The sequence below is a fragment of the Homo sapiens genome, chromosome 6 (assembly GCF_000001405.40).
Source record: "Homo sapiens chromosome 6, GRCh38.p14 Primary Assembly".
Lineage (NCBI taxonomy): Eukaryota > Metazoa > Chordata > Mammalia > Primates > Hominidae > Homo > Homo sapiens.
In genome coordinates, this window is record NC_000006.12 from 148,383,838 (window position 1) to 148,398,483 (window position 14,646).

General features: G+C 43.5%; 1 protein-coding gene across 10 annotated transcripts in view; it reads left to right on the plus strand.

Moving 5' to 3' along the window:
- SASH1 (SAM and SH3 domain containing 1) overlaps positions 1-14,646 on the plus strand; it is a 358,577-nt gene that overhangs the window by 190,370 nt on the left and 153,561 nt on the right. For all 10 annotated transcript variants that reach the window (XM_017010599.2, XM_024446384.2, XM_017010600.2 and 7 more), the window contains exon 2: positions 6,297-6,425. In XM_017010599.2, coding sequence (XP_016866088.1) covers positions 6,297-6,425 — 129 coding nt within the window. The remainder of the gene's footprint in view (positions 1-6,296; positions 6,426-14,646) is intronic.

Genomic DNA, 14,646 nt, shown 5'->3' on the forward strand with positions numbered 1-14,646 from the left:
TCTGTGTCTTTTCTCCTTAATTGCAACAGCAGTCCACCCAATCTGAACTGCTCGGTACAATGCCCCTTATCTCTGTATTTTTATGTTGGTTGTATGAAAGACGGGTGTTTGGGACAAAGATGCTCTGTGGCTTTGGGGGAAGATTATACAAGTTTGTTGTCCGTTGAGCTGACACGGGTGATGACTCCACAGATTTAATTTAAATCTTCAGCAAGTGAAATGGATTGTCATACATATGGACAGATGCTGTGACCAGGTTCTATGAGAAGAAAAGGAAAGAGAACTTGAATCTGCATGTATCTCTTTTCCTGTTTTCAAAGACAGGGGTGGGAAAATTCTTATAAAAAGATCGCGTGACTCAAAATTTCACAATTTTCTCAAAAAATTATTTTGAGGAAATAACGTTTTCCCATGTTCCTAAACTTGAACTAATATTGCTTAAGTTTAATGCCAGAGAACCAAAGAGGGAAAATAAGAAAGAAGTGAAACAGATGAGGCAAGCAATAAACTCCAGACCAGAAACTTTTGAACACCTTAAAAGAAAAGGTTTAAAAAAGAATCCGTTTCAGTGTTTTAATCATGATATTTATTATAATAAATGTAGAGATGATTTTAAGTCTTATTATAGTTACAAGTTTATTTTGCAACATCAGTGCTTGACATTAGTATGGTGGGGTGTTGAGTCAGACGTAGATTTTGTGTTTCCGTAAAGATGGCAGCATGCGATCCTATGGAAACCTCATCTACATTATTTAAATTTCCTGCAGACTCATGTTGCAAGTATTTTTAGTAAAATTAAATATTTTTATGGAGTAGGTCTGTAGCTATCTCAAGGAATAAGCTGAATAAAAATAATGCAAACACTGTCAGTCCTGAAAGAGCATGGCTTTTTAAAAACTGCTTTATTGAGGTATGCTTGATAAGTGAAAAGCTGTGCATTTTGAATGTATACAATTCGATGAGTTTGGGAATAAGTATATGCCATACCATCAACATCATAAACATATCCATCATTCCCAGAGTTTCCTCCCACCCCCATATAACATAGAAATGATGATTATTCTTATTATTTCATTTTTTAAAGCCTGAATTTTGAGTGGGTAAAGATAATCATCAGGTAGTTGGTTGGTTTCATTGATTGGAATGTAAAAGATTCTTTTTGTGGGATGGCAGACAAGACCCACTCTTAAAAACACACATATACATTCTTCTATTCTGTTGCCTTTCTTGGCATTTAAATCATCAGGACTGATGAAAGTGGTAATTATGGGGACTTACTGCACATCTGGAAAGTAATTTGGGAAGATGTAAAAGCAGCTGTGCCACCCTTTTCTAATTATTATCTGGAGTGAGGAGTGGCTATTATGGCATGTTGTAGGGTGTGAAATGCTGGCTTTCTTTGGCCTGAGTTGATTTGAACAGCTGCTCTTTTCCTCAGGAGCAACAAATATATTTTTCAGGTCCCCAAGTTATTGGGGGAGTTTTGAGTGATTGGGAATGGGATAGAGAATTTCACTCGTAGGAAAAACAGAACTGAAGTGAAGAGTTGGCTTGTTGTTGGTTTTATGATATTGTGAAATACATATTTGGTCTTAATCTTGTTTTCCGGCAAACTCCTAAAACCCTTGGAACCTCCAAAGTGATAAGTGTATTTTTTTGTATGTTAATGAGTTGACTGATGGCTGGCCACTCTAGGTAGCTTCAGAATGGAAGCTGGTCACAGGAAAGACCCGGGCTGGATTAGAGGGTTGGGACATTTAGCCCCACCTCCCAACCTCTGGGGAGGGGAGAGGGGCTGAAGGTTGAGCTGATAGTCATTGGCCTTTGATTTAATCAATCATGCCTGCATAATGAAGCTTCCATAAAAACCCCAAAAGACTGGGTTCTGGGAGCTTCTGGATAGCTGAACACATAGAAATTTGTGTAGGGTGGAGCATCTGGAAAGGGCACGGAAGCTCCGACACCCTTCCTCAATACTCTGCCTTGTGCATCTCTTCATCTGGTATTCATTGGTATCCTTTGTGAATTCTTTCAAAATAAGTCAGTAAATGTAAGTATAGTGTTTCCCCAAGTTTTCCGAGCCACTCTAGCAAATTAATTGAGCCCCAAAAGGGGGTCGTGGGAACCCTAATTTGTAGCAGGTAAAACAACCTGGAGCTTGCTTCTGGCATCAGAAGTGAAGAGCAGTCTTGTGGGACTGAGCCTTCAGCCTTTGGGTTATGAGGCTGTCTCTGGTTCGGTAGTGTCGGATTTGAACTGGAAAACACCCAGCTAGTGTCCACTGCAGAACTTGCTGCTTCTTTGGAGTGTGGAGGGAGGGGAACCACCTCCCCTGCCCAACCATGTCTGGTGTCAGAAGTGATCTCTGTTGTGAGGCTGTAGAAGACATTGAGTTTGGTTTTTCTACATCATCAGAATATTCTTAGGATATATGAGAGAGAAGAGAAAAAGGGGAAGAAAGTAGTTTGGACAAAGCTATATTAATAATTACATAAATAATATATAAATAGTTTTTTTCCCAGTGGTCTTGGTTAGTCCAAGACGACGGTTGGTTGTGATAAGTTGGACAGTTCACAAACGTGAAAGCTGGTTGTTTTAGAGAGAAACCAGTATTCCATGTTGGAATACCTCAGTGTGGACCTCTGTGTATAAGAGACAGAGAGAGTGATGGATTTCTATTCCAGACCAGAAAGCCACAGGGTAGTGTGTAAGCTGTAAACCCCCTTAACAAGTACACTTGGCTGTTGGGAGACATGGACTTTCTATTTGGTCAAAGTGGCAGGTGTGTTTTGTTTCCTGGCTGGATGAAGGCAGAAGTTTCTGGATGAGGACAGCATCACGTTCCTGAGACCAAGACAACTCCAAAGAGCCCAGGATCTTCCAGGGTCCCCGGTTGTGATAGGGATCAGATCTGTAACTCATAAAAATGGGCTTTCAGGTTAAGTTGCTCCCCTTTGCCCTCAAACTCACACACAAAAGGGAGCTCCTTTGTCTTTGTCAATATAGGCTGGGGAAAGGAGCTAAGAAACTAGGAGAGGCTTCAGGGTGAACAGGGATGGTGAGCACTTTGTTTCTTTGAAGTATCAGCAAACAAACATCCCTAGGTGAATCAAGGAGGATGCCCTGGTGCTGAAGATAGCCCAGCTCCCTCTGTCCTGGGAACTACCTGGGTGCTTGCTTGCTTTCTCTCTCTCTTTCTTTCTTGCTTTCTCCCTCTCTTTCTTTCTTGCTTTCTCCCTCTGTCTCTCTCTCTCTCTCTCTCCTTCCTTTCTTTCTTTTCTTTTTTTTTTTTTTTTTGAGGTGTAATTTTGCTCTCGTTGCCCAGGCTAGAGTGCAGTGGCGCAATCTCGGCTCACTGCAGCCTCCGCCTTCTGGTTTCAAGCAATTCTCCTGCCTCAGGCTCCAAAGTAGCTGGGACTACAGGCACCCACCAGCAAGCCCAGCTAATTTTTTTGTATTTTTAGTAGAGACGGGGTTTCACCATGTTGGTCAGGCTGGTCTCGAACTGCTGACCTCATGATCCACCTGCCTCCCAAAGTGCTGGGATTACAGGCGTGAGCCACCGCACCCGGCCCTCCTTTCTTTTCTTTTCCTTTTTTCTTCTCTTCTCTTCCCTTTTCTTCTCTTTTCTCTTCTCTTCTCTTCCCTTCCCTTCTCTCTTCTCTCTCTTTCTTTTTCCTTCTTTCTTTCTTTCTTCTTTCTTTCTTTTCTTTTCCTTTCTTTCTTTTCTCTTTCTTTCTTTCTTTCTTTCTTTCTTTCTTTCTTTCTTTCTTTCTTTCTTTCTTTCTTTCTTTCTTTCTTTCTTTCTTTCTTTCTTTCTTTCTTTCTTTCTTTCTTTCTTTCTTTCTTTCTTTCGGCATCCTTAGTAAATTATTTCTTTTCTTTCCATTCTTTCTTTTCTTTTCTTTCTTTCTTTGACGGAGTTTCACTCTGCTGCCCTGGCCAGGTTGGAGAGCAATAGTGCGATCTCTGCTTACTGCAACCTTTGCCTCCCAGGCTCAGGTGATTCTCCTGCTTCAGCCTCCTGAGTAGCTGGGATTACAGGTGCCCACTAATGCGCCCTGCTAATTTTTTTTTTTTTTTTTTTTTTTTTTTGAGACAGGGTTTCACTCTTGTTGCCCAGGCTGGAGTGCAATGGCACAATCCTGGCTCACCGCAACCTCTGACTCCCGGGTTCAAGTGATTCTCCTGCCTCAGCCTCCTGAGTAGCTGGGATTACAGGCATGCACCACCATGCCCAGCTAATTTTGTATTTTTAGTAGAGACGGGGTTTCTCCATGTTGGTGAGGCTGGTCTCGAACTCCTGACCGCAGGTGATCCGCCCACCTCAGCCTCCCAAAGTGCTGGGATTACAGGCGTGAGCCCCTGCGCCCGGCCCAGGTTCTGTTTTCAGGCAGTTTCCTTTCCTGGAGGCAGCACAGCAGAGGCCAGGAGGCTGAGGGCCACGGTGCATGTCCTCAGAGGGGCAGCAACAGATTCTATCTTGACCTTTGTTATTTTTCTACTGGACACTTGACAATAGACGACATTTTGAAGAGGAGGGGGTCTCCCACGTTGCCTGCTGTGTCAGTCCAGGCTGTGGGCTCAGACAGACAAGACTGATTGTAGTGAAGGGGTGACTTTTGTCCAGACACATTCAAAGATCTTACTGGCCTTAGAAGAGTCCTTCTTGTCTCCACACTGTGCTAGGAACTTTGAGGCAATCAGCTCAAATGCAGAACATGTTATTGGTGGGGAAGCAAGGAGCTTTTCTGAAGCGTCATTTTTTTCCCGTCTCTGTTTCTCCTCTCCCTTGGTTCTGTAAAATCAGTGAATGCAGAAGTAGGGTAGAGATGATCCTTGCTCTGCCCCAGGCCTGCTGACCAGGGTGTAGGTCTTTAGCAGAAAGGCTTTGGGAGAAATTCAACTCCCAAGCCCTGCTTGCATCTAAGCCTGCTTCGCAGTGTTAGGCGTGTGTTGCTATGGGCAGTGCACCAACATTAAATAACTGAAGGGGTTGGCTAGCAGTCTGTAAAATGGAAAATGTGTGTGTGGCTTTAGGTGGTCTAAAAGTCGTATTTTCCTTGGTTGTCTTGGTAAAGTCATTTATTTATACCAAAGAGCAGAATGTTGGGAGGTTAAAAAAAAAAAAAAGAGCTGGAGGAGAGGAGAGGTCTTTCTGAATGAATTGATAGAAGAAATGGCATAACTTACAAATGTACAAGGTATTTCTGTCATCCTCCCTGTATGTATTCAGGTATGTTTTTAGGAATCCATTGCTCTAAAGGAAGACTATAGTGTGGAACATAATCTTGCAGTGAGTATTACACTGCGAGAAATTTTTAGCATTTACTACATGCCGGGTGGACTACACGAGCCGGCTAAAGTCTAAGCGCTTCACACGTGTTACTCCAGTAGTCCTCACTGAAGTAGGTGTTGTGATTATTCAGTGTTCCTCAGAGGTTGAGACGTGCCTAAGGCCACTTAACCAATACCAGGCGCTATGGAGCTGGGTGGAAACTCAGAATGAGCTCTAGAGCAATTACGTGGCACTTGCCTTGGGGAAGAAACAAGTGACATGTTTATTTATTTATGCAGGTGAATTTGTAACATGTACTCTTGCACCTGGACTTGGAATGCCTAGTGAATAATGAGTCTAATGAATAATATGAATATTAATGACCATAATAATGAATATTAATGAACACTAATGACTAAATGAATAAAAAGATTTTCCACTTTTCTGAGGGTCTCCTGAGAGGTGCAGTGAGATTTGTCCCAGATGCAATTCTCTATCGGTTCCTGAATTCTCAGGCTCCCATCAGAATCCCTGGGAGGGGTCCTGACATCTCTTTTATGAGCTTCCCAGTAGGTGGTGGTGCAGTCCAGGGGCCACATTGGGCATTAGGAGCCTCTTCCTCACACAGTGCCTTTGCTGAAGGTGCTTCCCTGGTGTTTCCTCTCTTAGCCCTGCTAGGCAGGCAGAGAGATGGGGATTGAAGACTTTGGTGTTGGCACCAGACCGTCCGAGGTTGGAGAGCTGGCCTCTGTGCTTCTTAGTCCTGGGATTTGTGGGCAGTCGCTCAACTTCTTTGAGCTCCTGTTTACCCATCAATATAAGTGGGAAAAAACAGGCCCCTGTCAGAGGGCTGTCCTGAGGGTTAGGAGATCCTGCATGTAAAACAACCTGGCACTTGATGTTTCCCACTTAAATACCAACCTTTATTACTATTAACTCTGCGTAGAGGGAGGTCCGATGGCTGTGGGCTTTTCCAGGGTGGACTGACCTGACCGCCTTTGTTTGTCCACCCCTTCAGGACGGTTCACTGGGAAACATCGATGACCTGGCGCAGCAGTATGCAGATTATTACAACACCTGTTTCTCCGACGTGTGCGAGAGGATGGAGGAGCTGCGGAAACGGCGGGTTTCCCAGGACCTGGAAGTGGTGAGTGGGGGTCCTGGGAATATGCTTCTGTGAGCAGAGCTGCTCCAATTTGGGCTTTTCCTTGGTCTTTATCCCAGTGCTAGCTCTTCCTGGGGTATCAATCTGTAGGCTGCTGCACTAGTGTGGGGTAGAATGTTCAGGTCCCTAAAAGACTGGCCCAGTTCTGCCGCAGATATCAAACTGAGTGAGTGTTGGCTGGAGCAATAGGATCGAACCTTTGCACTCATTAAAAGAACAGATTTGGCCGGGCGCTGTGGCTCACGCCTGTAATCCCAGCACTTTGAGAGGCCCAGGCGGGCGGATCACGAGGTCAGGAGATCAAGACCATCCTCGCTAACACGGTGAAACCCCGTCTCTACTAAAAATAGAAAAAAAATTAGCCGGGCGTGGTGATGGGTGCCTGTAGTCCCAGCTACTCGGGAGGCTGAGGCAGGAGACTGGCGTGAACCTGGGTGGCAGAGCTTGCAGTGAGCCAAGATCACGCCACTGCACTCCAGCCTGGGCGACAGAGCAAGACTCCGTCTCAAAAAAAAAAAAATAGATTTTTATTTTTATTTTTTTACTTAAGGGAAAAGTATATTTTTACTGTTCACCAGTGTATACTACATTTTTTATTGACTCTAAGCCCAAAGGGTGTCTAGGCTAATTTTTTTTCCAGCTTTCGTTCCTTTTTTCTTTTCTTCTCTTTTTCTTTTCTTCTTTTGGAAAGCAACATAAAATTTTAAGGAACAATAAATCACCTGTAGTCCCTCACCTAGCAATAATCACGTTGGTGTTTTAGCGGGTATCCTTCTAGTGTTTTTGTGGGCATTTAAAAATCAGCAAAACTAGCCCACCACTAAAGACACTCTTTTTTTTTTTTTTGAGACGGAGTTTCTCTCTTGTCCCCCAGGCTGGAGTGCAGTGGCGTGATCTGGGCTCACCACAACTTCCACCTCCCAGGTTCAAGTGATTCTCCTGCCTCAGCCTCCCGAGTGGCTGGGATTACAGGCATGCGCCACCACACCCAGCTAATTTTGTATTTTTAGTAGAGACGGGGTTTCTCCATGTTGGTCAGGCCGATCTTGAACTCCCGACTTCAGGTGACCACCCGCGTTGGCCTCCCAAAGTGTTGGGATTACAGGCGTGAGCCACCACGTCCGGCCTAAAGACACTTTTATAAAAAAAAAAAAAAAAAAAAAAATCAGTGATACAATGCTGTATCTATATATTTAAAAAAAACTTCTTCCTTTATTACTTAACATTTTATTGCAGCTCATATTCCCTGTCCTTGAGACTTGTCATCACCATCTTTCATGGTTATAGTCTCCTCTCACTCAGGTGCATTGAAATAAATTTGGCTGTTTGTGAAAACCTTTATGTGTATAATCAGAGATGCATTTGGACTTGTATGTGATAAACAGTAACTAAATAGCATAGGTGCTATATATATAATTTATATGTATACTAGTAGTTCAAAATTGTATATTTGCTATAAAATATCATAAAAGCGTCTGCATTTCTCAGTTTAAATGTCTTACTATTGGATTCACTTTAGTTCCGTGCCTTTCAAATAGTTTTGTTTCATTATGCCAACCTCAGGACCTCCTCAAGAAGTGGGGTTGAGGCAGAAGAAAATGTTCAACCCTCTGTCTCCTCATCCAGACCTGTTCCTTTTGAGCCATCTCATATAGTGGGGGCTGCATGGATATGTTTTAAGTAACAGAGTTCCTCTGCCTTTAAAAAAATGTTTGAAAACTAAGCCGGGAGCGGTGGCTCATGCCTGTAATCCCAGCACTTTGGGAGACCGAGGCTGGCAGATCACTTGAGGTCGGGAGTTCGAGACCAGCCTGACCAACACGGAGAAACCCCGTCTCTACTAAAAAAATATAAAATTAGCCGGGCGTGGTGGCGCATGCCTCTAATCCCAACTACTCGGGAGGCTGAGGCAGGAGAATCACTTGAAACTGGGAGGCGGAGGTTGTGGTGAGCCGAGATCGCGCCATTGCACTCCAGCCTGGGCAACAAGAGTGAAACTCTGTCTCAAAAAAAAAAAAAAAAAAAGTTTGAAAACTGCTGATTCAGTTGAATCCTTATTTATCCTCCTCCCACCTCCTGTTTATCTACTTAGGGTGAGCACACACACAAAAATAATAATTAAGTAACTAATTTAGAACTAAGTAGGAACAGATAATTCTTTTGTTAATAATTATTTTTATGTTACATACAAGGGTTCTGTGAGTCCTCTCATACAAGGGACTCAGCAAGTGGTTGGGTACCACTGCCCTATATTGTGCAAGTGAACATAATCTGTTTCCACGGTAAGACTATGGTGTTCTTATGTACTATTATTTCTTTTCTTAACCAAGTAAACATTCCTTGGATCAGGAGTAACATTATATCATGACTGCCAAATATTAATTGATTCTCTTTCTTTTATGTTCACCAATTTAGTAGCTGCAGGGATGGGAGTTAGTTTAAAGTTGACTGAGGCTGAGAAGTGTCATCCAGGGGCTGACAGCCATCACCACGGGAGCCTGACGCCTTGGCCCAGGTGGGCGGCAGTGTTGTCAAGGGCTTCTTTCTTTTAACTTTGTTCCTTGACATGTGTGAATGCTGGGGTTATTTCCTCCTTTTGAAGAAAGTAACTTTATGTGTCAAAAGACTCCCACACTCTTAAAATTCATTAGGCTCTCCTGTTGAAGCATAGTTAATGAAAAAATACTCTCATTTTGGCAAGATTACCACAGGACAACTTAAATAAATATTGCATAATGCCCTGAATTCTTGAATGTTTCAATTTTTTTTTTTTTTTTTTTTTTGAGATGGAGTTTCCCTCCTGTTGCCCAGGCTGGAGTGCAGTGGTGTGATCTCAGCTCACCGCAACCTCCACCTCCTGGGTTCAACTGATTCTCCTGCCTCAGCCTCCCGAGTAGCTGGGATTACAGGTGCCCACCACCATGCCCGGCTAATTTTGTATTTTTTTTTTTTTTTTTTTAGCAGAGACAGGGTTTCTCCATGTTGGTCAGGCTGGTCTCAAACTCCTGACCTCAGGTGATCTGCCCGCCTTGGCCTCCCAAAGTGCTGGGATTACAGGCGTAAGCCACCGCGCCTGGCCAGAATGTTGCAATTCTTGCCTCAAATGATAGTCTGGTAGGACTCTGTGGCCTCCTCAGACATTTTACTGTGCTTGAGGAAATGATTGCTGTGAACTGGCAGAAGACAGACCACTGACACAACACTAAACTGCTCTTCTCAGGATTCTAGCTGGTTAGGAGTTGGGGTTACCATCATCATCCCATGGTGTTTGGGAACTTTGGAAGGCAGCTTCTAGGTAGGAGAGAAAGTCTGCCCATCGGTGGGATTTAGATTATTATTTTGATTTATTATTTAGATAATAAAACCTCCTTCTCATTCAAACAGATGGGGCTAATTTGGCGTGCTCTGTTCCAAAACCGCAGAAGACAGTCTGGGGGGAGAAAACACCACATGAGCTTAATTAGTTCCCATCAAAGGTGCAAGAATTTGGTGGTGAGTAAAATTGATGGGAGCTGATTCAAGCCAGGCTGGAAGCATGACTGTTCATTCTTTAAATTGTAGTTAGCAAGTAAGACCCCAAATTGGCATATTCAGATTCTCTCTCTCTCTTTTTTTTTTTTTTTTTTTTTGAGACAGAGTTTTGCTCTTGTTGCCCAGGGTGGAGTGCAATGTCATGGTCTCGGCTCACTGCAACCTCTGCCTCCTGGGTTTAAGTAGTTCTCTTGCCTCATCCTCCCAAGTAGCTGGGATTACAGGTGCCCGCTACCACGCCTGGCTAATTTTTGTATTTTTAGTAGAGATAGGGTTTTACCATGTTGGCTAGGGTGGCCTCGAACTCCCGACCTCAGATGATCCTCCCGGCTTGGCCTCCCAAAGTGCTGGGATTACAGGCGTGAGTCACTGCGCTCAGCCTTCAGATTCTCTTTCTATGAAATTCCAGACAAGTTGCAGTGGAAAAGGGAAATTCTAAAACTGGCAAGGATCGGGTTTAGGTGCTGGATGTTTCCTGTGTCACTCACATGGCTCCAAAGTCTAGATGTCCATGTTAGATGTGTTTTGAGGCTAGTCATCATTTAGGCTATGATACAACACTGTTAACCTACTGAAAGTTCCCTCTCACAGTGCTTAACAGTTTTGATTCCTGATGGGAACTCATTTCCTTGAAAAGCTGTGACTTCCAGTCTGTCATGTTCCCTTTTATTGCATCAGAATTTTACATGTATTTCTAATCTTTCAATTCTGCCTTCAGACAAGTAAACAATATGCCTTCCCTGCTGGCTGCTTGGTTGGCACAACTTCAGGTCTGAGGACCTGCAGCTTAATAATTTTTTTCTTTCTTTCTCTCTTTCTCTATCTCTCTCTCTTTCTTTCTTTCTTTTTTGAGATGGAGTTTCACTTTTGTTGCCCAGGCTGGTGTGCATTGGCGCAATCTCAGCTCACCGCAATTTCTGCCTCCTGGGTTCAAGCGATTCTCTTGCATTAGCCTCCCGAGTAGCTAGGATTACAGGTGTGTACCACCCCTCCCGGCTAATTTTTTGTATTTAGTAGAGTTGGGGTTTCACCATGTTGGTCAGGCTGGTCTCAAACTCCTGATCTCAGGTGATCTACCTGCCTCGGCCTCCCAAAGAGCTGGGATTATAGGCATGAGCCACTGTGACTGGCCAGTTTCTTTCTATGTTTGTCAGCAGCCCTGTCAAAGCTGAGTGCGAGATGGCTTTGAGATGAAATAACCTGTTAAAAGCAGAAGAGGAAATATGCAGTAACATATTAGAAGCCTCAAACATTTTATAGGGGAAAAGTAGCATTAGATTTGTTGTATCTGCTCTAGAAAAAGTCATTTTAGAAGACAGCCTTGGGGACAGAGAATTTTGGGTGATGGGTTGAATTGGTTTATGGCTTTGTTTCATTCTAAATCTTCTGGGTGAATTTTGGAGATTGAAGAAATAGTCTACAGATAGGATACTTAGATATTTGTGTTTGGCTTTAAAAAGTCAAAAAATGCATTGTCCTTAAGAGCTAATTATGTATCAACTGGAGAACAAACGAAACAAAAGGACACTCAGCCTACAGAGTTGCTTGACTTAACCCTGAAAAATAAAAGGTTTTGATAATTATGTTAGTAATTAACTTTCTGGACTGGATGTCAAGCTCTTTCTCTAGGACTTAATCACCCGGATCCTGACTGGAATAATGCATTTGATAAAGTGTCTTTGGGGCCAGTTAGTTTTGGTGAAGACAACAGAGAGTACAGATGGGTAAAAATTCAACAATATAAACAGAGATTATGATTCACATTTATAACTATGGTGAGAGTTTTTATTTAGCACCAAATGGGCCCTACAGGAATGGTGTGTTTGGACCACAGCCTTTCCCTCTGCTGGGGATTGGGACATTAGTGCTTGTGAACAGCAGGGAAGTTGCCCATATCTCTCCACATTTGGCACAATCCCTGGGCACCATGTGTTTTTTTGGCTGGGAGAAGCTGCAATCAGAAATGCTAGTGGCTTTCCAAGTCCATAATGGTCCAACTTGAATGATACTAAGTCTGACATCTGTCAAAGTGACACCATGGTCAGGAAAGTACTCAAGGTGGCTTCTTATTACTGGCAGTATCAGCTTCCTCAGCATCTTGAGGTGGAATCTGTGTGGGTATTGGCAGAAAACAAGTTTGTGCAGTTGTTGATGTGGCACGGAGCTGACAGAGAAGTCCCTACCCCCAGCAGCACTCTGTTGATGATGACATACTCATCAGCAGCTGAAGCCTGGCCCAGCTTCTGTGCCAATTTGTTGTCATGACTTTGTGAATACAAGGAAAAGGGAGCCCAGGTGGAGATGCACTGAGGTCTTTAAGGACTGGGAATGTCAATAAAAATATTGCATATTATAACTGTGAAAGGTCATAGCAGGGCCATTGCTGGACGGGTGCAGTGGCTCACACCTGTAATCCCAGCACTTTGGGAGGCCAAGGCGGGCAGATCACTTGAGGTCAGGAGTTCAAGACTAGCCTGGCTAACATGGTGAAACTCCATCTCTACCAAAAACACAAAATTAGCCAGGTGTGGTGGTGCGCACCTATAATCCCAGCTACTTGGGAGGCTGAGAAAGGAGAATCGCTTGAACCCAGGAGGCGAGGTTGCAGTGAGCCAAGATCATGCCGCTTTACTCCAGCCTGGGTGCCAGAGTGAGACTGCATCTCAGAAAAAAAAAAAAAAAAAAAAAAAAAGAAAGAAAGAGAACCATTGTTAATGGTGTAGGAATGACTTATCATTCCTTGCAATTTTAATAACTTAAACCTTCCAAATATAGTTCTGGATTAAGACAGAGGCAGTAAGAGTAGTGTCCATTGTAACCAGTGCTAATTGTCAGAGCCTCTTTTGACTGTACCACCCCCTCTCCAAGCTGGAGGAAGAGCCCTTACCCGGGCTTGTTGCAGTGAGCAAGAGGGTGTAAGAAACATTAATGGAAAGAGGCTGAGGGAGTCACAGACTTGGTTCAAATTCTGGCTCTTTTACTTACCTGGCAAGTGAGGTAACCTCTCCTGGCCTCAGTTTCCCAATTTATAAAATGGGAGTAAAGTATCTCAAAGTTATTAGAGGCTTAAATGAAAAAAATTGCTGTCATCATAAGTGACTGTAACTGTTGATTTCTTTCCGTTCCTTTCTGTTCTGAGTTGAAAAATCCCTGCAGTAATGCTGAAGAGTATCCATTACTTGTACTTCATTAATATTTATTCAAGTGAGTGCAGGGATTTTTTTAATAGCTTTTTATGTTGGAAATGTGAACATCTATAAAGATCATAATACCGTGAACGTCCTGTGCCTGTTTCCCGGCGTCCACAGCTAGCAGCATCCTGCCATTGTTTCATCCTCACATCCCACTCACACTTCATGATTACTATGTTTTTTAAAAGTTTGTTTTGTCCTGGCACGGTGGCTCGTGTCTGTAATCCCAGCACTTTGGGAGGCTGAGGCACGTGGATCACCTGAGGTCAGGAGTTTGAAACCAGCTTGTCCAACATGGTGAAACCCCATCTCTACTAAAAATCCAAAAAAAAATTTAGCCAGGTGTGGTGGCTGGCACCTGTAGTCCCAGCTACTTGGAGGCTGAAGCAGGAGAATCGCTTGAACACTGGAGGTGGAGGTTGCAGTGAGCCGAGATCGCACTATTGCACTGCAGCCTGGGTGACAGAGTGAGACTCCGTCTCAAAAAAAAAATTTGTTTTGAGGTATAACTTATATACATCTAAATGCACAAATGTCAGTTGTATAACTTCATCAAATAAATATACCCACGTCACCCGCAGCCCAGCATGATAGAGAACACATTCAGCACCTGCAAAGTTGCTTCCTGTCCCTTCTAGTGGGTCCTGCCTGGTTTGAGGGCAGGGATTTTTGTTGGTCTGTTTTGGTCACTACTGTACCCTTGCATAGAGAACAGTGCATGGCACATAATAGGTGCCCAATAAGTATTTGTTGAATTCATTCATGTGTGTAAATATTCAACTGAGCATTTAAATATATTTGAAATATTTAATGAGCATTGAGTCTGTCATGTGGGATTTTGCCTTTCCAGAATCACAGACAAAATATGTATTCCCTGCCCACAAAGAGGCCACAGTTTAGTAGGGGTGTGAGGCAAGTAACATACTCTTACCGTGCTGTGCAGGAGTACAGAAGAGGGTCCCTGATGACTCCTTAGAGGAAGTGGTAACCCAGGCTTCCCAATCAGAAGGCACAGGGAAGACTGACCTGGTTGAGGGAGGTGTGGACCGTGGGGAGTAACTTCAGGGAGACGTCACAGTTTCATCCAAGGCCAAAAATGGAGGGAGGGGTAAATGTGGCTAGAAACTATGGTATAAACGATGTGAGGGGAAAAAAGAGGCAGGCTGTTCTTTCACAGGTCCTTGGATTATTAATGATATAAAAGATAAAGTAGAATATTCCGATTCATTCCTATTCACAGGGCGAAACAGAATAAATTGCCATTTTGCAATTGTTGACCGCTGGGCCAAGGTGAACTTGTTCTTGCTTTGCCTGTGGCTTCACGCAGACATGCGCACATAGTCCAGTCTGTGTGGGTTTTTGTTTGGTTTCACTGACTGCTCTTTTGTTATTTGCTACAGACAGCAAAGCATATGGGAAACAGGTTTCCTGTTGTACATTTGAGCTTCCTGAATATTCAAGAAAATGATCAGGAAAGTGAG